Source organism: Homo sapiens, chromosome 5, assembly GCF_000001405.40.
Source record: "Homo sapiens chromosome 5, GRCh38.p14 Primary Assembly".
NCBI classification, from domain to species: domain Eukaryota; kingdom Metazoa; phylum Chordata; class Mammalia; order Primates; family Hominidae; genus Homo; species Homo sapiens.
The window spans coordinates 180,930,672-180,952,206 of record NC_000005.10 but is presented as its reverse complement, the minus strand read 5'-3'; the positions used below and the strand labels follow the sequence as shown (position 1 = coordinate 180,952,206).

General features: G+C 40.4%; 1 protein-coding gene and 1 pseudogene across 12 annotated transcripts in view, besides 1 other annotated feature; both read right to left on the bottom strand.

The window, feature by feature from the left end:
• Positions 1,030–2,229: an enhancer, noted in NCBI's record as "CDK7 strongly-dependent group 2 enhancer chr5:180376978-180378177 (GRCh37/hg19 assembly coordinates)". NCBI's record gives its function as "activates an origin of replication core promoter dependent on BRD2, BRD4, P300/CBP, MED14 and CDK7 cofactors, with strong dependence on CDK7, by STARR-seq in HCT116 cells {active_cell/tissue: HCT116}" and the evidence as "EXISTENCE:reporter gene assay evidence [ECO:0000049][PMID:35650434]".
• Positions 1,301–21,535, bottom strand: part of BTNL8 (butyrophilin like 8) — a 51,748-nt gene continuing 31,513 nt past the window's right edge. For 9 of the 12 annotated variants that reach the window (XM_047417764.1, NM_001159709.2, NM_001040462.3 and 6 more), the window contains 5 exons: positions 4,582–4,695; positions 3,832–3,852; positions 3,261–3,287; positions 2,942–2,968; positions 1,301–2,303 (listed from right to left, as the gene is read on the bottom strand). In XM_047417764.1, coding sequence (XP_047273720.1) covers positions 1,663–2,303; positions 2,942–2,968; positions 3,261–3,287; positions 3,832–3,852; positions 4,582–4,695 — 830 coding nt within the window. In that variant the 3' untranslated portion in view covers positions 1,301–1,662. Of the gene's footprint in view, positions 2,304–2,941; positions 2,969–3,260; positions 3,288–3,831; positions 3,853–4,451; positions 4,696–21,535 lie in introns of all 12 variants that reach the window. The other 3 variants (NM_024850.3, NM_001159708.2, XM_011534649.3) reach the window with 3 other exon arrangements.
• RPS29P12 (ribosomal protein S29 pseudogene 12) lies at positions 6,220–6,481 on the bottom strand (annotated as a pseudogene).

Below are 21,535 nucleotides of genomic sequence, written 5' to 3'. Positions count from 1 at the left end.
AGAGTGAACGCTAATGTCAGCTGCAGACTTTGGGTGATAATGAGGTGTTAACATAGGTTTATTGATAGTTACAATGTTCCATCTTGGTGGGATGTGGACAGTAGGGAGAGCTATGCACCTGTGTGGGCAGAGGGTATATGGGAACTCTTTGTACTTTCCACGTGACTTTTCTATGAACCTAGAACTGCTCTTTAAAATAAAGCATGTATATTTAAATGTGGGCATAGCACTCAAAGGATGAGGTTCGAAGGCCAGGAGCCTTCGCCTTTCTTGTCTTTCACCCTGGCCACGCCTTGGCTGGGCCTCGGGCTGCTCACCTGGATCTTCTGGATGTTCTCTCTGTCCAGACTCTCCACCATGGAATCCACCACCTTCTGCACCCACAGCTGCTGTGTGACGACCCTTCACTGCCTGCCCGAAGAGTTGATTTTTGACTGTCATGGAGCGCCTGATGCGTGGATGCACCACGGTTTGTTTATCTGCTCATCTGTTGTGAGTATCTGGGCTGTCTCCACCTTTCACCTATTCTGAATGAGGCTTCTATGAATATTGAGGTACAAGGCTTTGTCAAGACATGCAGTTCCTTTTCTCTTGGTGAATACTTAAGAGTGGGATGGCTGGACCATACGTTAGGTGACTGTTTACTTTTAAAGAAACTGCCATACAGTTTTCCAAAATAGTTTTTACATTTTTACACTCTTTTACATTCCTATCAGCAGGGTGTGAGTTTCAGTTTCTGCACATTGTGGCCAACACTGGGTATGATCATTCTGTGTAATTTTATTACCACTCCAATAGGTAGGAATGGTATCTCATTGTTTTAATTTGAATTGTCTCAATTACTATGATGTTGAGTATCTTTTCATGTGCCTGTCATCTGTGTAGCTTCTTTGCTCACAGATGTAATTTTTTCCTGCATCTATTGAAATGATCGTATAGTTTTCTTTTTCAGTTTGTTAATGTGGTTAATTAAACTGGTTGATATTTGAATATTAAGCCACATATGAGAAAAAACATATTTAGTAGTGATGTATTATTCTTTGAATGTATTGCTGGATTCAGTTTGCTAAAATTTTAATTAGAATATTTGTGTCTAAGTTCATGGGGGATATGGACGTGTAGTTTTCCTTTCTTTTCTTGTAATGTCCTTGTCTGGTTTTGGTATGAAAGTAATGCGGGCTCTATAGAATGCAATGGAAGTGCCACCTTCCCTCTGGCTCTGGCACAGAGCAGGTGCCTGTTTCATGGGTGATTTGAAGTAGGGAACAATAAATTCATGTGAAATAAACAAGCAAAGACCTTACTGAAAGTGTAATATAATGAACAAACCATTAGGATACACTCTGTCATCAATAAGATCTAAGCATTATTCACATTCCTTGTCTACTTAATCTACACCACAGCCTGTGAGATGGGAATTCCTGACGGTTCTTCACCTGAGAGGTGGTATTTCAAGATCACTTAGCCAGATGGAGTGAGAGCAAACTAAATGTAATGTCAGCCTTCTTCCCTCCCAGCTCAGGGCAGCCATGACACCTGACTCCCATGTGGACAGGCCAGTCCCCCTTCATCTGGAAGCCACCTTGGCCGGCTGCTGCGGGACTTTGGATCTGGGAGAGAGACCTTAATATCCCTAAAGAAGAATGTGGGATGTGATTCATCCTACATTTCACCCCTGGGGAGGAAGGGCGTGGTTGCCTGTGAGGAGGACTCACTGTTGCTTGTCTCTGGGATTGCAGAGGCCCTTTGCCAAGAGGCCTCTTTCTCTGATTCCTGGGTGACTGGGCAGATGACTATGGGAGTTCCATTTTGCTCATTATAGGACGGATACTCAATGTAGGGCCTCAATAAGCCTTCAAACCGACATGTCAGGGTATAAATAAGGGACTGGTCATTTATGTTGAAGAAGGAGATGGTCCCACACTCATAGTCCAGGAAGACCCCTATTTTTGTAGGTGGGGTCCTGGGGAAGACGCTGATAAAACGGGGATTTAATGTGAAATACAAATGTTCTCCATTCAGTCTGAGGACCCAGTACCCATGATCGGGAGACAAAGTCACGTACTCCTTCCTCCTGTCCACATCATCCCGGCACACTCCCACGCGCCACCTTTTATTGTGTCCTCCGTCCACCTCCCAGTAATGTTTCCCTGCTTGGAAACTCTGAGAAGCCACCACACTCTTCCTTGTAAATCTCTTCTCAGAGTGAGGCACCTCCTGGGGAGCTTTTCTATGGGTTACAGTTTTCAGATCAGAAACGCAGAGCTTCGGGTGAGCCGTCTCTGGATCCAGAGTCACCTCCACTGGGGTGCGGTGGGGGAGAGAGGAAGCATGAGTTACTGAAGACGAAATCTGGGCTGGAGCAAGAGGTCGACCCTCCCACTGCAGACTGGCTCTGGGTGGCATAGGTGAGGCCCCGGACCTGAGCCTCCCGCAGACACTGCCTTTCAGGTCCTCTCATCACCAGTGCAGCCTGGAGGACTCATCAATGTCTAGATATGTCTCAATATGACGTCCCAATCTCGGCATATCACCCAACCCTGCCACTGTCCCTTCATACATAAAACTATTTGATTCATAAGAGCTGGAGGGACCCCACTATCTAACTTCCTCCCACTCAGAATTTTCTGCCTGACTTTACTTCCTTCCCCTCAGCTCAGACCCCTGACCAGTCACTAGTGCCCTCAATTCCCTGAAACTGTGCCAAAGACCCCCCCGTCTCCCGTTTACCCAGCCCCTGTCTTCTCCCCTTCTAGACCAAGGGAAAGAAGTGTGTCTGGGGGCACTGAACCCTTGGGGGCGATCAAGCATCCAGTTTCTCCATCTGCAGGCAGGATGGGTCTCAGCATCACTCTGTGTTCCCGTATCTGTCCCTGTTCAGTTCCCCCTCTCATGTCCACCTGAGATTCTGTCCCACTGTCACCCTCTCAGGCGTTGGTACCTGCGTGTTTCCGGGCGTCTCTCAATTCTGAAAGCAAGCAGACAGAGCAGGCAGTTCAGTGCTCACGTGGGAAACAGGGCGCAGGGAGAAGGGAAAGACCAAGGATTGGGACCCTTTTTGAGTGTTGTGGACCCTCCAGAGATCCGAAGAAGGCTATGGGGCTTCTCTACAAAATGCACCTCCCCCAGAATCTGCAATTTCAGAGTTCCCATCACAAGCTTGGCTCTGCAGGGACCCACGGGCCTCAGGATATAAAAATCCATAAACGAGAGACTTGGAAAGGAGTCATAAATGTGTGAAGAGGAATATTTTCTTTTACCTGCCTGTCCGTGCTTTCTTCTCCAGTCTGAAAAACAAAAACAAAAACAAAAAACATGTAAGAGGCTGACGTCACAGAGCGGGGGCCCAGGGAGGGCGTGGGAGGGAATCCCTGCGAGTGGTAACACTCTCACCCAGTTTATCCTGGAGTTCCCACAAAACAAAAAGCAGACTATTTAGTGGTTGATACAGAACTGGATAAAGTCTCAAAGCATCAGGCCAGGGGAGGTCGAGGATCACCCACAAATTTTTCTCAGGTTCCTCACTGTGGCCCAGACACCCTCAGAGCTCATGATCAACACCTTCCCCCACCACACACACAGCAAACCAACGGGCAACAGGCACAGACAATTTGTGGGGACTTCCAGGCCCCGGGGCCTATCCTAAGCCCTCCAGATGTCCGAGGGGTAACTCATGAGCAGTGGATGGAGAGAGCGAGCAGCTGCTCTCCTCCACCTGCCGGTGCTTCCTGTCCAGCCTGCAGCCAGGGTCGTCCAGAGGCTCAAACTGTGGATCAGGGAGGGACCCGGGAGAACCATGTGTGGGAGGCTCAGGACATGACACATACTTACCCAGTTCCGCCTGGATTTTCCCTGAAACAGAAACAGTATATTCAGTGGTGGACACAGGAGTGTACAAGGCACAAACACGACGCTGGCTCCTTGCACAGGTGGGACGAGCTGCAGGTGTGAAGGGCAGGGCCTCTCCTAGGACACTTATATGTGCTCGTCTCCCCAGCTCCTGCACGGAGTGTGGCTCTCTGGGGTGGAGCAAGAGATCAGGAAGGTGCATGCTAAGGAGAGGGACAACAGCTGGGATGCTGTGGAGGTGGGGATGGAGATGGGAGAAGGCAGCTGGGAGGGGAGGCGGGGGTGGCCTCACCCCCAAGGGGAAGTGTCACTCCCAAGGAGGAGGAAATTGGTTTTGGGGGTGAAAAGTCTTATTGAGACTGAATATAATTTTATCTTATTGTCAGTCACTTTTGCTTCCTCCTTTATGAATTTGTTCACCACATTAAAACTTTTTAATAGGAGTCTTGGTGGTGTTCATGGAAAATTATCCAAGCTCTCTCTATAGGTACTGAAAATCATTCATCCCCTTATTATTTGACCTAAATGAAGTAGCAAGGGGCTGTCGTAGTTGATATTTCCAGAGGAAGAGATGTTAGAATACCCTAGAGAAGGATGATTACTTTTTTGGGCCTGGGCCCCTGGAGGCTAGGACTAGAAGAAGAGAAGCAGCTGGATGTGGGAGCATCTCTGATCCTGTCCCTGCTGGAACCATGAATAAGGCACCGGCCCATGCTTCTCTCTCTCGCTTACACTGGAATTTGGAGAAGAAAATCTTCAGTCCAACAATGCCAAAAAATAGGCCACAGCAGAGTATTCCCAGTACTTTGGTAGCCAGGTGCCACGATATAGGCTCGAAAAAGGTATCTGAAAAACAATCCCACAGACATTTTAGTTATTGGTGAACAAAAGACACAATTCAATTCTTCTTTAAGGAGTCACCTTGTTCCCCACAATGGAAGAAATAGGTTTCTATAAATTCTCCTATAGGCTTAATACTTTGATTGTACTTTTGTTATAAAATGAGGTAGTGGTTCTATTTAATTTTCTTCTCAACAGATAACGACTGTGCCAACATTTATTGAATGGACATTCCTTTACACACTGATACGTGCAGCATCACCTCTGACCCAATAAGCTTTCTGTTTAGGTTTGGATTTGTTTCTGGGCTCTCTGCTCTGTGTCATTTGTCTACTTGTCCACTTTTGTGCCAATAATTTTGAGTGGCTTAATCACCACAGTTCCGGGATATGTCTTGGTATAAACTAGACTAAGTTTCCTCACTTCTTATTCAGTTGTGCCTTGGCAACTTTGCTCTGCGACATAAATTTTTGTATTGACTTGTCAAGTTCTAAGAAAATTCTGCTGAGATTTTGAATGGAATTGTATTGAATCTATAGATCAATTCAGAGAGAACTGATGTCTTAAAATATTTGCATCTTGTCTGAAAAACTATCTCTTCCCTCCTTTTATTACTATTATTTAAATTGACAAATCACATACATATTAATGGGTACGGTGTGACTCTTTGATACATGCCTACAATGTGGAATGATTAAATCAAGCTAATTAAGACATCCATCATCTCCCTTACTTATCATTTTTATGATGAGACATTTAAATTTTATTCTTTCTGTTATTCTGAAATATACAATATATTATTGTTAACTACAGTCACCCTGTTCTTCAGTAGACTTCAAAACATATTCCTCTTGTCTATCTCAATCTTTGCACCCTTTGACCAACAACTCCCCATTCTCTCTTGCCCTCTGCCCCAGCCTCTGGTAACATTCTACTCTCTATTGTTATGAGTTCAACTTTTTTAGCTTTGACATATATCAGATCACAAGAGATTCATCTTTCTGTGCTTGGCTTATTTCACTTAGCATAATGTCCTTCAGGTTTATCCTCGGAGTTGCAAACGACAAAATGTCCATCCTTTTTTTAAAGGCTAAATATTGTATTCCATTGTATTTATAGATCACATTTTCTTTATCCATTCATCTGAATGATGGACACTTAGACTGAATTTAGCAATTGTGAGTAATACAGCTATTCCATCAACATATTGATTACAATCCATTTTCATATATTCCCACAAGTAGGACTGCTGAATCATAGAGTAGTTCTATTCTTAGTTTTTTAAGAAAACTCCATACAGTTTTCCATAATTGCCATACTAATTTACATTCCCACCAATAATGTATGAGTTCCTTTTCTCAGCATCCTTGCCAACACTTATCTTTAATCTTTTTGATAATAGCCATTCAAAGAGGTGTAAGGTGATATCTCATTGTGGTTTAATTTGCGTTTCCACAATGATTAGAGATGCTGAGCATTTCTTCATGTACCTGTTGTCCATTTATTTATTTATTTATTTATTTATTTATTAATGTTTATTTTATGTACAAAGAGCTATCATGGTTTTTCATTGCGTAGATGCCTTGGATAATCCATTCAAGGAAGAGCACTTAGTTCAACTTAATGAAACATATGTCCTTTGCGTGCTGATGGAAACACTGCCAGCACATATTGAGGCCATATTTCCGGATCAGACTCGACAAGAGCAAGAACCCTGACCGAATTTTCATGAGTGGCTCCAGTACAGCTGCTGGTGACCCATCTTGCTCTCAGGAGTGCAACTAGGTGAAAGAAGAGAGTTAGCGCAAGCCTACACTCTCCCTGTTGTCCACTTAAATGTAATTTTGAGAAATGTTTGTTCAGGTCCTTTCCCCTTTTTTAAGATCAGGTTATTTGTTTTCTTTCTATTGAGCTGTTTGAATTTCTTATATATTTTGGTTATTAACCCTCTATCAGCTGTTTGGTTTGCAAATATTTTCTCTCACTCTGTGGGTAGTCCTTCACCTTGTTAACTGTTTTCTTTGCTGTACAGAAGCTTTTTAGTTTGATGTAATCCCATTTGTCTATTTTTGCTTTTTTGTCTGTGCTTTTTATGTCATATTCAAAAAAATTATTGCCAAGATCAATGTCATGGAGCTTTGCCCATATATTTTCTTCTAGCAGTTTTATAGTTGCAGGTCTTATGTTTAACTTTTTAATCTGAGTTCGTTTTTGTACATGGTGTGAGATAAGGGTTCAATTTCACACATGTGCATGTGGATATCCACTTGTTTCAATATCATTTATTGAAGAGACTGTCCTTTCTTCATCCTGTGTTCTTGGCACCTTTTTCAAAAATCAATTGTTCATAAACACATGGGCGTACTTCCAAACTTTCCATCCTGTTCCATTGAGTGATGTGTCCGCTTTTGTGCCAGCCCCAGGACGTTTTAATTATAATCACTTTATATTTTGAAATCAGAGTATTGTGACTCTAACTTTGTTATTTTTGCTCAAGATTGCTTTGGCTATTTGAGATCTTTTGTGATTCCATATGAATTTAAGGATTCCTTTTTTCTTTATCTGTGAAAAGTGACGTTAGAATCTTGAGAGAGACTGTATTGAATCTGTAAATAGCTTTGGGTAGTATAAACATTTTAACAATGCTAATCCTTCCAATCCCTGAACATGGAATATATTTCCTTTATTTGTGTTCAGTTTTTTAAGTTTTATTTTACTTTGTATTGATGTAATAATTGTTCATATTTACAGGGTACAAAATGGTGCTTTGATATATGTGTACAATATGTAATGATCAAATTAAGGTATCACCTAAAACATTGATCATTTAAGGTGAGAACATTCAAAATCCTCTTTTCTAGCTATTTTGAGATATGTAATATGTTATTGGTAATTATAGTTACCCTACTGTGCAATAGAAGACTGGAACTTATTGCTGCTATTTAAATATAATTTTGTACCTGATCAACCTCTCCTCATCCCCTGCAATCCCTCTACCCTTACCAGCCTCTAGTAACCACTATTCCACTTTCTACTTCTATGAGATCAGCTTTTTAAAAGAATTTTAATTGCCTCATAATAACTGTACATATTTATGTGGTACAATGTGATGTCGTGATACATGTATACATTGTGTAATGATCATTTCCATCACCTCAAACACTTGTCGTGTCTTTGTGGTGAGAACATTCAAAATCCTCTCTTCTAGCTATTCTGAAATATACTATACATTCTTGTTAACTATAGTCACTTTGCTATGCAACAGGACACCAGAACATTTTCTTCCTATCTAATTGTAACTTTGTATGCATTGGCCAGTCTTTCTCCATTCCTCCCTCTACCCTATCCCCAGCTCCACCAGTCTCTGGTAACCCCTACTTCTCTACTTCTATGAGATAAACTTTTTGGATTCCATATGTGGGTGAGATCATGTGATATTTGTATTTCTGTGTCTGGCTTAATTTACTTAATGTCTTCTAGATTCTGTACCTCTATGAGATCCATTTATTGGATTCCACTTATGGGTGAGATCATGTATGGTTTAATGTAACTTAACGTAGTGTCTTCTAAGTTCATCCATGTTGTTGCAAATAATAGGATTTCACTCTTTTTATTACTGAATAATATTCTATTTTGTATATACATCATATTTGCTTTTCATTAATTTGTTAATAAACACTTAGGTTGATTCCATATCTTAGCTATTGTGAATAGTGCTGAAATAAACATAGGAGTGCAGATTTCTTCAACATGTTGATTTTCTTTCTTTTGGGTATACTCAGTACTTTGATTGCTGGATCTATGGTAGTTTTGTTTTTAATGTTTTGAGAAATCTCCATAGTGTTTTCCATAATGAACACACTAATTGAAAATCCCACCAATGGTGTGTAAGTGTTCCTCTTCTCCACATCAACAATTGTTATCTTTTGTCTTTTTGATAATAGCAATTTTAACTTGAGTAATGTTTTATCTCATTGTAGTTTTGATTTGCATTTCCCTGATGACTAGTGATACTGAACAGATTTTTATATATCTGTTGTTCATTTGTATGTTTTCTTTTAAGAAATGTATATAAGGTCTATCATCCTGGCCAGGCACGGTGGCTCATGCCTGTAATCCCAGCACTTTGGGAGGCTGGATGGATCACCTGAGGTCAGGAGTTAGAGACCAGCCTGGCCAACCTGGTGAAACCCCGTCTCTACTAAAAATATAAAAATTAGCTGGGTGTGGTGGATGGTGTCTGTAATCCCAGCTACTCGGGAGGCTGAGGCAGGAGAATCACTTGAACCCAGGAAGCTGAGGTTGTAGTGAGCCAAGATTGCGCCATTGCACTGCAGTCTGGGCGACAGAGCGAGACTCTGCCTCAAAAAAAAAAAAAAAAAAAAAAGTCTATCTTCCCTTTTGTGATTGGATTATTTGGGTTTTTTCACTCTTGAGTTGTTTGAGTTCCTTATATCCTGGATATGAATACCTAGTCAGATGTATAGTTTGCAAATATTTTCTCCCATTCTGTAAGTTACCTCTTCACTCTGTTAATTATTTCCTTTGTTGTGCAAAAGCTTTTCAGTTTGATATAATCACACTTGTCTGTTTCTGCTTTTATTGTCTGTGGTTTTGAAATCACATAAAAAAAAATTATTGCCCAGTCCAATGTCCTGAAGCATTTTTCCTATGTTTTCTTCTAGTAGCTTTATAGTTTCAGGTTTTACATTTTAGCCTTTAATTCATCAAGAGTTTATTTTTATATATGGTGAGAGATAGGGGTTAGTTCATTCTTCTGCATATTGATACTAGCAAATGCAGCACTATTTTTTGAAGAGACTCTTTTCTCTAATATATATTCTTGGCACCTTTCTCAAAAGTGAGCTGACTGTAAATATGTGGATTTATATCTGGGTTTTGTATTCTGTCTCATTCTTCTGTGTGTCTGCTTTTATGCTAGTACCACGCTGTCTTGGCTAGCATGCTTTTGTAGTGTATTTTGAAGCTCCATAGTGTGATACTTCCAGCTTTGTTCTTTTATTCAGTAATGTTTTGGCTGTTTGGAGTCTTTTGTGGCTCCATATGAATTTTAGGATTTTGGTTTTTATTTCTTTAAAGAATGTCATTGGTATTTTGATAAGGATTGCATTGACTCTGTAGATCACTTTGGGTAGTGTGGTCATTTTACCAATCTTAATTCTCTTACATCAGGAACATGGGGTATCTTTTCATTTGTTTGTGTTCCCTTCAGTTCTTTTCATCAATGTTTTGTAGTTTTTATTGTATAGATCTTCACCTCCTTGGTTAAACTTATTCCTTGGTATTTTATTTTGTTGTAGCTATTGTAAATGATACTGCTTTCTTGATTCTTTTTCAACTAGTTTGTTATTGGTGTGTAGAAACACTACTGAATTTATATGTTGATTTTGTATCCTGCAACATTACTGAATTTGTTTATCAGTTCTAAGAGGTTTTTTTGATGGAATCTTTAGTTTTTTTATATAAAGATCATGTTGTCTGCAAACAGGGACAATTAGACTTTCTCCTTTCCAATTTAGATGCCATTTATTTTTTGCTCTTGCCTGATTGCTCCGGCTAGGACTTCCAGTACTTTGTTGAATAAGAGTAGTAAAAGTGGGCATCCTTGTCTTGTTCCAGTTCTTATTGAAAAGCTTTCAACTTTTCCCCATTCTGTATGATGTTAGCTGTGAGTTTGTCATATGTGACCTTGATTGTGTTGAGGTACATTTCTTCTACATCTAAACTGTTGAGAGTTTATATCATGCAGGATGTTGAATTTCATCAAATATTTTTTAATGTCTATTGAGATGATCATATACTTTTTGGTCTTCATTCTGTTGATGTGATATATCAAATTTATTGATTTCCATATGTTGAACCATCCTTGCATCCCTAGAATCAATCCCACTTAATCATGGTGTATATTCTTTTTGATATGCTATTGGATTTGGATTGCTAGTATTTTGTTGAGAATTTTTGCATCTATGTTCATAATGAATATTGGCCTGTAGCATTCTCCTTTTTGTTGTATTCTTTTCTGATTTTGGCATCAGGATAATACTGTCCTCATGGAATGAGTTTGGAAGAATTCCCACCCCTTCAACTTTTTGTAATACTTTAAGAAGAGAAGGTGTTAGTTCTTTAAAAGTTTAATAGAATCCAGCAGTGAAGTCATCTTGTTTTGGGCTTTTGTTTGTTGGGATACTTCCTACTGCTGATTCACTCTTGTTACTCATTATTAGTCTGATTAGGTTTTCTAGTTTTTCCTGACTCTATTTTAGTATGTTCCATGTGTTTATGAGTTTATCTACTTCTTTTACATTTTCCAACTTGTTGGCATATACTAGTTCTTTCTTTCTCTCCTTCCTTCCTTCCTTCCTTCCTTCCTTCCTTCCTTCCTTCCTCCCTTCCTTCCTCCCTCCCTCCCTTCCACCTCTTTCTTCTTGCTGTGTTTCCCAGGCTGCATCTCAATCTCGGCTCACTGCAGCCTCTGCCTCCCAGGTTCAATGATTCTCAGCCTCAGCCTCCTGAGTAGTTGGGGCTACAGGTGCATGCCACCAAGCCCAGCTAATTTTTATGGGTTTTTTTTGTTGTTATTGTTGTTTTTTTGTAGAGACAGGGTTTCACCACCATGTTGGCCAGGCTGGTTTCGAGCTCCTGACCTCAAGTGATTTGCCTGCCTTGGCCTCCCAAAGTGCTGAGATTACAGGCATGAACAATTGTGCCCCGTGGCATATAGTTCTTAATAGTCTCCAATGATCCTTTGTATTTCTCTATTTCTCTGGTATCAGTTGTAATGCCTCCTTTTGGTTTCTGATTTTCTTTATTTGGATCTTCTCTCTTTTTTTCATAGTTATTCCAGCTAAGGGTTTGTCAATTTTATCTTTTCAAAACACAAACTCTTATTTTGTTGGTCTTTTGTCTTATAATTTTGGTCTTTATTTCATTTATTTCTCCTCTGATATTTATTATTTATTTCCTTCTACAAAATTTGGGCTTTGTTTCTTCTTGCCCTTCTAGTTTCTTGAGGCTAATTGTTTGGAGTTTTTTCTACTTGAAATATTTATACTTTTTATGATGTAGGCATTTATTGCTATAAACTTACCTCCTAGTACTGCTTTTACTATATCCCATATGTTTTGGTATCTTGTGTTTCTTTTTTTTTTTTTTTCCTCTGAGATGAAGTCTTGCTCTGTCGCCCAGGCTGAAGTGCAGCAGCATGATCTCAGCTCACTGCAACCTCTGCCTCCCTGGTTCAAGAGATTCTCCTGCCTCAGCCTCCCGAGTAGCTGGGATTAGTGCCACCATGCTCAGCCAATTTTTTGTATTTTTAGTAGAGATGGTGCTTCACCATGTTGGTCAGGCTGGTCTTGACCCCTTGACCTCGTGATCTGCCCACCTCAGCCTCCCAAAGTGCTGGGATTACAGGCATGAGCCACTGTGCCCAGCTGGTATGTTGTATTTATATTTTCATTTGTTTTAAGGAGTTCTTTAACTTTGTTTTTAATTTCTGCATTAAGCCAATGGTTGTTCAGAAGAATGTCGTTTAATTTCCATGTATTTGTACAATTTCCAGTGTTCTTGTTATTGATTTCTTGTTTTATTCTATTGTGCCCTGAAAATATATTTGATATAGTTTTTATTTTAAAAAAAATTGTTGAGGTTGTTTTGTGGCCTAACATAAAATGTATCCTGCAGAATATTCCATGTGCTGATGAGAAGAATGTGTATTCTGCAGCTTGTGGATAAAATGTTATGTAAATATCTGCTAGGTTCATTTGGTGTATAGGGTACAATAAATCCAATGTTACTTTGTTGATTTTCTGTCTAGATGATCTGTCCAATGGTGAGTGTGGGGTGTTGAAGCCCCCAGCTTCAACAGCTAGACAGTTCAGCTAGACATTACATTAATTAATGTATTGGGATCTACCTTTCCCTTTAGATCTAGTAATATTTGCTTTATGAATTTTGGTGCTTTTGTATTGGGTTCATATATATTTACAATTGCTATATCCTCTTGTTGAATTGACCCCTTTATCATTAAATAATAATCTTCTTTGTCCCTTTTTACAGTTTTTGACTTAAAATCTATCTTATCTAATATAAGTATAGCTATTCTTGCTTGTTTTTTTTTCCTTTTGTGTGGAATACCATTCATCATCCCTCAATTTCAGTCTTTGTGTGTCTTTACAAGTGAAGTGAGTTTCTTCTGGGCACCATATAATGGGATCTTTTTTCATTTATTCATTCATTCATTCATTCAGCCAATCTATATATTTTAATTAGGGAATTTAAACTATTTACATTCAAGGGTATTGTTGATGAGTGAGGACTTATTCCTGTCATTTTGTTAACTTTTTGTTCATTATTTTGTATATCCAAGTTTGATTCTTCCTCTCTTATCATTTCCCTTTGCCGTTTGATGGATTACTATAGTGATAAAATTTGATTCCTTTCTCTTTCTCATTTTCATATCTATTCTTCCAGTGAGTTTTCTACCTTCAGGTGTTTTCATATGGTAGTTATCATCCTTTCCCTTCCAGACATAGGACTCCCTTGAGCATTTCTTGTAAGACTGATCTAGTGGTGATAAATTCCCTCAGTTTTGCTTATCTAAAAAATATCTTTTTCTTCTTTATTTCCGAAGAATATCTTTGCTGGCCATCATGTCTTAGTTGGCTTTTTTTCCCTTCCAGCACTTTGAACATAGTATCCCTTTCTCTCTTGGCCTGTAAGATTTCTGTTAAGAAATCTGCTGTTACCATCCTGACCAACATGGCGAAACCCCGTCTCTACTAAAAATACAAAAATTAGCTGGGTGTGGTGGTGCGTGCCTGTAATCCCAGCTACTCGAGAGGCTAAGGCAGGATAATCACTTGAACTAGGGAGTCAGAGGCTGCAGTGAGCCGAAATCGTGCCAGTGGATTCCAGCCTGGCGACAGAGCAAGACTCCATCAAAAAAAAAAAAAAGAAAGAAAGGAAGGAAGGAAGGAAGGAAGAAGGAAAGAAATCTGTTGTTAGTCTGATGGGAATTCTCTTGTACGTAGCATGACACTTTTATCTTGCTCATTTTAGAATTCTCTGTTTGTCCTTTTGACAATTTGACTAAAATGTGCCATGTAGAGGACCTTTTTGTGTTGAATATTTTGGAAACTTTTAAGCTTCCTGGAACTGGATGTCCACATCTCTTCCAGGACTTGCAAAGTTTTCAGCTATTATTTTATTAAATAGGTTATTTACACCATCTCTCATCTCTTCTTCTGAAACTCACATAATATGAAAATTTTTTCACTTAATGGTATTTCATAAGTCCTGTATACTTTCTTCATTCTTTTTTCTCTTTCTTTTTTTCATCAGACTGGGTTATTTCAAAATACCTGTCTTCAAGTTCAGAAATTCTTTCTTCTGATTTATCTCCTGTATAAATTTGAAAGGAATCAAATTTTATCACTATAGTAATCCATCAAATGGCAATGTTTTTATTTCATTCATTGAATTCCTTAGCTCCAAGATTCCTGTTTAGCTCTGTTTTGTAGTATCTGTCTCTCTGTTGAATATTTCTTTTTTTTTTTAAATGGGGAAAGGGGCTTTTAAAAAGTATTTCATTTAGATGAAAAATTGTTTTCCTGATTTTGTTAAATTCTCCATTTCTAGTCTCTTGTGTCTCACTAAGTGTTCTTAAGATCATTATTTTGAACTCCTTTTCAGGCATTCATAGATTTTATTTTCCTTGGAGTCTGTTACTGAAGAATTACTGTGTTCCTTTGGAGGTGTCATATTTCCTTGGATTTTCATGTTTCTTGGGTTCCTACATTGATATCTGCAAATTTGGTGGAACAATAACCTCTTCCAATTTTATGGAATAACATTATATATAAACCACCTGTTAGTTTTGTTGATGTTTTCTTCTGTTTTTCTACTCTCTATTTCTGCTCTAATTTTTGTTATTTCAAACATTTTCAACTTGGGGCTTCTTTTTTTTATTTTTCTAGTTCCCTGAGGTGGAAACTTTTATAGGCAAAGATGTTTTCCTGTAGATGAGTCCTATGGTGTTGGTTGGATACGTGGGTGCTGTATTATATTAATAATTTCCATGTAACTGCTTCAGCTGTAATCAACATTGGAAGTACCTTCAAGTGTGTCAATGTTGTAGGCTGTGTGTAGTTTTGGAGGCAATGGCACAGCTTTGCAGGGAGCTGGGGCCACCAGCTAGGCTGGTTTTTAGGCAAGGGCAGTGCACACCAAACATGACAGCTCCACTGGTCACTTGGTCCCAGGGGTGTACCAGTCGAGGAGGCAAGGTTACTAGAGGTGCCAGGTGCTGAGTGGGCCAGTACCTGGAGTCCTAGACGATGCACGTAGCATGCAGCAGCTCTGCAAGTAAATGAGATATGGCCACCATCAGTGGTGGACACCAAATGGGCTGTTCCTGAGACTCCTGGGGGGCTGCGTGCAGCATGTAGTCACTCTGCCAATCAAGGATATGAAGTCATGGCAGCAGGTGCTGAGTGCGCCAGTCCTTGGAACCCTGGGGGATGCAGGCAGTGTGTGGTGCCTCCACTGTTCCAGGGGGTGGTATTTCTGGTGGGAGCAGATGCTGGGCAGGCTAATTCCCAATTCCTGGGGAACATGTGTGGTGTACAGCACCTCTGACAGTTGAAAGTTTCGGCTCACTGGTGGTCTGGTCACATGTGACTCCACAAGTCCTTAGATCACTGGAGTCACATGTGGCAGGCAGCAGCTCCACCAATCAAGTGGTCAGGGTCACTGGTTGAGGGGATGGAGTGGCCAGTGGCAAGCTTCAGCTGTGTTCGTCCACAATTCCTGCAGAGCACACTACGGCAAGCGGCAGCTCTGCTAGTCAAGGACATCAAAACAATATTAATTCTTCCAATTATGAACACAGGATAGTTTTCCATTTGCTTGTGTTTTCTTCAATTTCTTTAATCAGTGTTTTATAATTTTCCATAATTTTAACCAGGTCTTTCATCTCTGGTTAAATTTATATCTAAGTACTTTTTTGTTGCTATTGGAATTGTTTTCTTAATCTTTTTCAGATAGTTTTTCATTAGTGTATAGAAATGAAACTGATCTTTGTATGTTGATGTTGTATCTTTCAACATTACTAGACTTGTTTACCTTTTCCAATACTTTTTTGGCTAAGTCTTTAGGATTTTCTATATATAAGATGATGTTATTACTAAATAGAGACAATTTTACTTTTTTCTTTCCAATGTGGATACCTTTTCTTTCTTTCTTTTGCCTAACTGTGCTGGTTAGGACATCCAGTACTATGTTAGAAAGAAGTGCCGGGGCGGTGGCTCACGCCTGTAACCCCAGCACTTTCGGAGGACAAGGCAAGCAGATCACAAGGTCAAGAGATCGAGACCATCCTGGCCAACATGGTGAAAACCTGTCTCTCCTAAAAATACAACAAAATTAGCTGGGTATGGTGGTGTGTGCCTGTAGTCCCAGCTACTCGGGAGGCTGAGGCAGGAGAATCACTTGAACCCAGAAGACGGAGGTTGCAGTGAGCTGAGATCATGCCACTGCACTCCAGCCTGGCGACAGAGCAAGACACCAAAAAAAAAAAAAGTTATAAGAATGGGCATTCTTGTATTGTCCCTGATCTAGCAGGAAAAGTGTTCCACTTTTCATGTTTAAGTATGATGTTGATAACAGTGGCAGCCTGTCTGGAGCAGTTGCTGTGAAGATGCTGGCTGCAGCAGGGGAGGTGTGGCTGGGGCCATGTGCTCCATGGAGCCAGGTGGGGCTGGGAGGGGGCTGGGAATGGGGGGAGCCCCACTCTCTACCAAGTCCACGGGGCAGGAGTCCTGTGCTCTGGGGCACAACTGCAGTCACCCAGCCGCAGCTCCAGACCCAGGCATCACTGTGCTCTCGGGGCCCTGGAAACCCTCTCTGCCCCTGCAGGCTCAGAAGTGCCTGCTTCTGCTTCCTACCCTCTCCCTGCTCCTGGTGTCCACTCCAGTGCAAAGCAAAGTTGTAGCCGAGTCCGGGCACTGTTGTGCCCAGCCAGGTATGCATGTGCTGGAGGCAGTGCTGACATGACAGCTTCTGCCTCCTCAGCTCCTTCTGGACTTTGAGCACCAGTGAGCACAGGAGGGAGGACGATGGCTGAGGGCAGCTCTGCACAGGTCTGCAGGTCCAACTCAGCATGAACAGCCCAGGTACCATGGATGGCATGTTGATGGTGGAAGGGAAACAGGTTCCTGGGTGGAAAGGGGCAGGTCCCTAACTACCTTCAAGCCAGGGATGACCTGAAGCCTGGGGGCTGGGCTGCCAGTTCCGGGTGGAGTCCACTGCCTGGAGTCAGAATTTATGGTGCTTTTTCCCAGCCACCCATGGCCATCCATGAACCAATCAGCATGCACTCCCTTCCTTCTGGGCCCATAAAAACCCCTAGACTCAGACAGACATCAGGACTATGAAGTGAGAAGCAGGAAGGAGCTACCCACTTGTTGGGATGACCTGCCTGCAGAAAGGAGCTACCCACTTCAGGTCTCCTGAGAATTGTTCTGTTGCTCAATAAAGCTCCTCACTGCCTTACCCTCCAGTTGTCTGTGTACCACATTCTTCCTGGATATGGGACAAGAACTTGGGAACCACTGAAAGGTGGGACTGAAAAAGCTGTAACACAAACAGGGCTGATACACACCGCCCTGTTTGCAATGTTGCAGACAATGAGAAGGAGAGAAGAGCTGCAGCCCTTCCAGGAGCCCAGACCTAGGGGCTTCCCATGCCAGGACTGTGACACCCTCTTTGGGCCTGTATGGTTTCTGGCATTTCCAAGCTTCCAGGCACCACCACATTCCCCTCGTCCAGACACAGGTGCCTACAGTGGAAGCTACTTGCAGTGCATCTGATCTAGCCACACAGAGGTTTACATGGAGCTGGCACCTGTGCTGGTGCCTAGAGCTGCCTGCTCCACCACAGCAGCCAGCATGCCTGGCTGTGCACAGTGGCCAGATTTTGTGCTCGCTCACTCATGCACTCCTCACTGCTCTGTGCCTGGCTCGCCCTTGGCAGGTGTGGGATCTGGACTGGTATCACAAGCCAAGCACAGCCTGCAAGGCCAAGGGGGCAGAACAAGCCCAATGGGCCTAAGAAAAACTTGGGCAAAGGTTTCCAGAGGAAAAGCAACACCCAAAGGATGCCATGGCAATGTTAGCTATGGGTTGTCATATATGGCTTTTATTGTATTGAAGTACATTCCCTGTATACCTAATATGTTCAGAGATTTTTAATCATGAAAGGGTGCTGAATTTATCAAATATTTTCTCTGTATCAATTGAGATTATCATATGATTTTTATCCTTCACTTTGCTTATATGTTATATGACATTTATATTTGTATATATTGAACCATCCTTGCATCCTAGGGTTAAATCATACTTGGTCACAGTGGGCAATTCTTTTAATGTGCTATTTTATTTGGTTTACTAGTATTTGGTGGGGGGTGGAATTTTTGCATCTATTTTCATCAGGAATATTGGCCTGTAGTTTTCTTTTTTTTTCAGTGTCCTTGTCTGATATTGGTATCAGGGTAATGTTGACCTTGTAAAATAAGTTTGGAAGTATGTCCTCTGTCATTTTTTGGAAGAGTTTGAGAAATGCTGGCAGTTTTTCTTTAAATGTTTGGTAGAATTCATCAGTGATGTCACTGGGTCCTGGGCTTTTCTTTGATGGGAGAATTTTTATTACTAAGTCAGTCTCCTTACTTATTATTGTTCTGTTCTTTGGATGTAATTCTTTTTTCTTTTTCTAGTTCCTTGATGTGTAACATTAGGCTGTTTATTAGAGATCCTTCTTCTTTGATACAGATGTCTATTGCTATAAATTTCCCTCTCATTTTTGCCTTTAATGCACCCCATAAGTTTTGTGTGTTGTGTTTCCATTCTTGCTTGTCTCAAAATATTTTTTATTTCATTCTTGTTTTTTCCTGCGACCCGATGGTTGTTTGAAAGCATGTTGTTTAATTTCCACATATTTGCCTGTTTTCCAAGATTTCTATTGATTTCTAGGTTGTACCATTGTGGTCTGAAAATATACTTATTATGAGTTTAATCCTCTTAAATTTAAAACTTTTTATGTGGCCTAAGATATGATATGTTCTGGAGAATGTGCACTTGAGAAGAATGTGTGCTCTACTGGTGTTGGATAGAATATTCTGTATATGGCTATTAAGTCCATTTGCTCTAACATGTAGTTTAAGTCCAAAGTTTTCTTATTGATTGTGTGTCTAGATTATCTGTTCATTGCTGAAAGTGGGATTTGAGGTTCCCTACTTCTATTGTGTTGCAGTTTATCTCTCCTTAAAATATTTACTAACTGCTTTGATGTTTTGTGCATATATATTTATATTGTTATATGTTCTTGGTAAATTGAACCCTCTATTATTACATAATGACCTTTTTCTCTTTTTATAGTTACATACTTAAAGTCTATTTTGTCTCATATAAGTATAGCTACCACTGCTTTTTTTTTTTTTGGTTTTTATTTGCATGGAATATCCTTTTTCATCCCCTCACTTTCAGACTTTGTGTGTCTTTACTAGTAATGTGAGTCACTTATAGACAGTAGTATATGGTTGATTTTAAAAATACATTCAGCCAGTCTATGTATTTTAATTGGAGAATTTAACCCATTTACATTCAAGGTTATTTATAGGTACAGACTTCCATTTTATAATTTGTTTTATGTTGGTTTTGTAGATCTTTTATTTTTAATTCTTCTCTGGCTGTCTTCCTTTGAAATTTGATGTTTTCTCACAGTTGCATGCTTTGAATCCTTTGTTTTTTATTGTTTGTGCAATTGCTGTGGCTTTTTAAAAATTATACTTAAAATTGGCCAGGCGCAGTGGCTCACGCCTGTAATCCCAGCACTTTGGGAGGCCGAGGCGGGCGGATCACGAGGTCAGGAGATCGAGACCATCCTAGCTAACATGGTGAAACCCTGTCTCTACTAAAAATACAAAAAAAAATTAGCCAGGCATGGTGGCGGGCACCTGTAGTCCCAGCTACTTGGGAGACTGAGGCAGGAGAATGGCGTCAACCCGGGAGGGGGAGCTTGCAGTGAGCCAAGATTGTGCCACTGCACTCCAGCCTGGGCGACAGAGCAAGACTCCATCTGAAAAAAATAATTATACTTAAAGTTATGGGATACATTTGCAGAATGTGCAGGTTTGTTACATAGGTATACATGTGCCATGCTGGTTTGCCGCACCCATCAACTCATCATCTACATTACGTATTTCTCCTAATGCTATCCCTCCTTAGCCCCCCACACCCTGACATGACCCAGTGTGTAATATTCCCCTCCCTGTGTCCATGTGTTTTCATTGTTCAACTTCCACTTATGCTTGTTTATGGCTGCATAGTATTCAATGGTGTATATGTGTCACATTTTATTTAACCAGCCTATCATTGATGGGCATTTGGGTTGGTTCCAAGTCTTTGCTATTGTGAACAGTGCTGCAATAAACATATGTGTGCATGTGTCTTTATAGTAGAATGATTTATAATCCTTTGAGTATATACTTAGTAATGGGATTGCTGGGTCAAATGGTATTTCTGGTTCTAGATCCTTGAGGAATCGCCACACTGTCTTCCACAATGGTTGAACTAATTTACACTTCCACCAATAGTGTAAAAACTTTCCTATTTCTCCACATTCTCTCCAGCATGGGTTGTTTCCTGACTTTTTAATGATCACCATTCTAACTGGCACAAGATGGTATCTCATTGTGCTTTTGATTTGCATTTCTCTAATGACCAGTGATGATGAGCTTTTTTTCACGTTTGTTGGCCACATAAATGTCTTCATTTGAGAAGTGTCTGTTCATATCCTTCCCCCACTTTTCGATGGCATTGTTTGTTTTTTTTCTTGGAAATTTGTTTAAGTTCTTGTAGATTCTGGATATTAGCCCTTTGTCAGATGGATGGATTGCAAAAATTTTCTCCCATTCTGTAGGTTGCCTGTTCACTCTGATGATAGTTTCTTTTGCTGTGCAGAAGCTCTTTAGTTTAACTAGATCCCACTTGTCAATTTTGGCTTTTGTTGCCCTTGCTTTTAGTGTTTTAGTCATGAAGTCTTTGCCCATGCCTATATCCTGAATGTTATTCCCTAGGTTTTCTTCTAGGGTTTTTACAGTTTTAGGTTTTATGTTTAAGTCTATAATCCATCTTGAGTTAATTTTGTATAAGGTGTAAGGAAGGAGTCCAGTTTCAGTTTTCCACGTATGGCTAGCCAGTTTTCCCAACACCATTTATTAAATAGGGAATCCTTCCCCCATTGCTTATTTTTGTCAAGTTTGTCAAAAATCAGATGGTTGTAGATGTGTGGCATTATTTAAGGCCTCTGTTCTGTTCCATTGCTCTATATATCTGTTTTTGTATCAGTACTATGCTGTTTTGGTTACTGTAGCCTTCTAGTATAGTTTGAAGTCAGGTAGCATGATGCCTCCAGCTTTGTTCTTTTTGCTTAGGATTGTCTTGGCTATACGGGCTCTTTTGTGGTTCCATATGAACTTTAAAGTAGTTTTTTCCAATTCTGTGAAGAAAGTCAGTGGTAGCTTGATGGGGATAGCATTGAATCTATAAATTACCTTGGGCAGTATGGCCATTTTCATGATATTGAGTCTTTCTATCGATGAGCATGGAATATTCTTCCATTTGTTTGTGTCCTCTCTTATTTCCTTTGAGCAGTGGTTTGTAGTTCTCCTTGAAGAGGTCCTTCACGTCCTTTGTAAGTTAGATTCCTAGGTATTTTATTCTCTTTGTAGCAATTGTGAATGGGAGTCCATTCATGATTTGGCTTTCTGTTT